A 1787-nucleotide genomic window follows, 5' to 3' on the forward strand; every position below is an offset into this window, starting at 1 on the left:
AAGCACAAGAATTATAAACAAAGCTACACCAAAGAACGTCATAATGAAATCATTGAAAACCAATGATTAAAACAAAATCTTGAAATCAGTCAAAACAAAAAGGCATGGTATGGACAGAGGAACAAATATCTTAAACAATGCAAGTCTGAAGAGAGTTGGGCAACATTTCCCAAGTACTGAAAGAAAACAAACAAAAAAAGCATGCAAAACAATTCTCCATCCAGAATTCCATAATTGGTAAAATATCTTTTGAAAATGAAGGCAAAGTAAAAATCTTTCCATGCAGACAAAAGCTTAAATAACTTACCAGTAGATCCACTCTACATGATACGTTGAAGGAAGTTTTTCAGGCAATAATAAAATTTTACCAGATGGATATATAAATTTGCACAGACAAATTCTTCTCATTATTTACATCACTTTAAAAAAATAGAGAAGAAGTTCGAGCAAGCTGGCTGAACAGAAGCCCTCCTTAATTGCCCTATCCACACGCACATCCAATCGAACAACTATCTACACAGAAAAAGCACTTTCATAAAAACCAAAAATCAGGTGAACAATCACAGTACCTGGTTTTAACTTCATATCACTGAAAGCAGAACGGAAGAGGGCAGAAAAGACAGTCTTGAAATGCTAACACCATCCTTCATTCTCTGGCAGCAGCTGCATGGCATGGAGAGAGAATCTGTTTTCTTGGGGGAAGGAGAGCCTAGTGACTGTGGAGCTTTGCATTGCAACTCAGTGCTGCCCTGTCACAGCAGAAAGCAACACTGGGTAGAAATCAACTGGCACTTACAGAAGGAACATTTAGACCAGACTTAGCCAGAGGGAAATTGCCCATTCCAGCGGTCAGAACCTGAGTTCTGGCAAGGCTTATCAAAAGAGCTAAATTGCTCTGGAGTCCTAGATAACTTTGAAAGAGACAGCAGTTTGGGGGCAATAGTTGGTGCTGTGCTGGGCTTACAGCCAGTGGACTTGGAGGACATGTGACTTGGTGACACACCAGCTGGGGTAGCAAAGGGAGTGCTTGTGTCACCCCTCCCACAACCCCAGGCAGCAACTCACAGCTTTGGGAGAGACCTTCCTTCAGCTTGAGAAAAAGTGAAGGAAGACTAAAAAGGACTTTGTATGGCAATTTAGATACTAACTCAGCCACAGTGGGATAGGGCACCGGAGACCTGAGATCCCCATTCCAAGCCTTATCTCCTGAAAAACATTTCTCTACACATCCTGGGCCAGAAGGGAACCCACTGCTTCGAAAGGAAAGGCTAAGTTCTGGCAGGATTCATCACCTGCCAAGTAAAAAGCTTTTGGGCCCCAAATAATCAGTTTTTGGGCCCCAAATAATCAGTAGTGGTAACTAGGCATTACTTCTCATGGGACTTGAATGAGACTCAGAGAAGTGCTGGCTTCAGGTGTGACTCAGCACATTACCAGGTATGGTGGCTACAGGGAGAGACTCCTTCTTTTTCAGAAAAAGAGAAAGAACAGAAAAGGGGACTTTGTTTTGCAGCTTAGGTACCAGCTTGGCCACATTGGGGTAGAGCAACAAGCAGGCTCTTGGGGTCTTGCATTCCAGGCCTTGGCTCTTAGATGGCATTTCTGTACCTGGACTGGGCCAAAGGGGAGCCCATTACTTTGAAGAGAAAGTCCCAGGCCTGGTAGCATTCACCACAATCTGACTGAGGAGTACTTGGTCCTTGAGTAAAGCTCAGTGGTAGCCTGGCACTACTTGCCACAGGCCTGGGACAGTGGTGTCTTTGGGAATAGACTCTTCTGCTTGTGGA

At 43.8% G+C, this 1787-nt stretch overlaps 1 annotated feature.

Annotated features, from left to right (window-relative positions):
* Positions 1307-1507: a silencer, noted in NCBI's record as "peak344 fragment used in MPRA reporter construct". NCBI's record gives its function as "represses an SCP1 promoter by STARR-seq MPRAs in K562 erythroleukemia cells {active_cell/tissue: K562}" and the evidence as "EXISTENCE:reporter gene assay evidence [ECO:0000049][PMID:32103011]".

Source organism: Homo sapiens, chromosome 1, assembly GCF_000001405.40.
Source record: "Homo sapiens chromosome 1, GRCh38.p14 Primary Assembly".
NCBI lineage: Eukaryota > Metazoa > Chordata > Mammalia > Primates > Hominidae > Homo > Homo sapiens.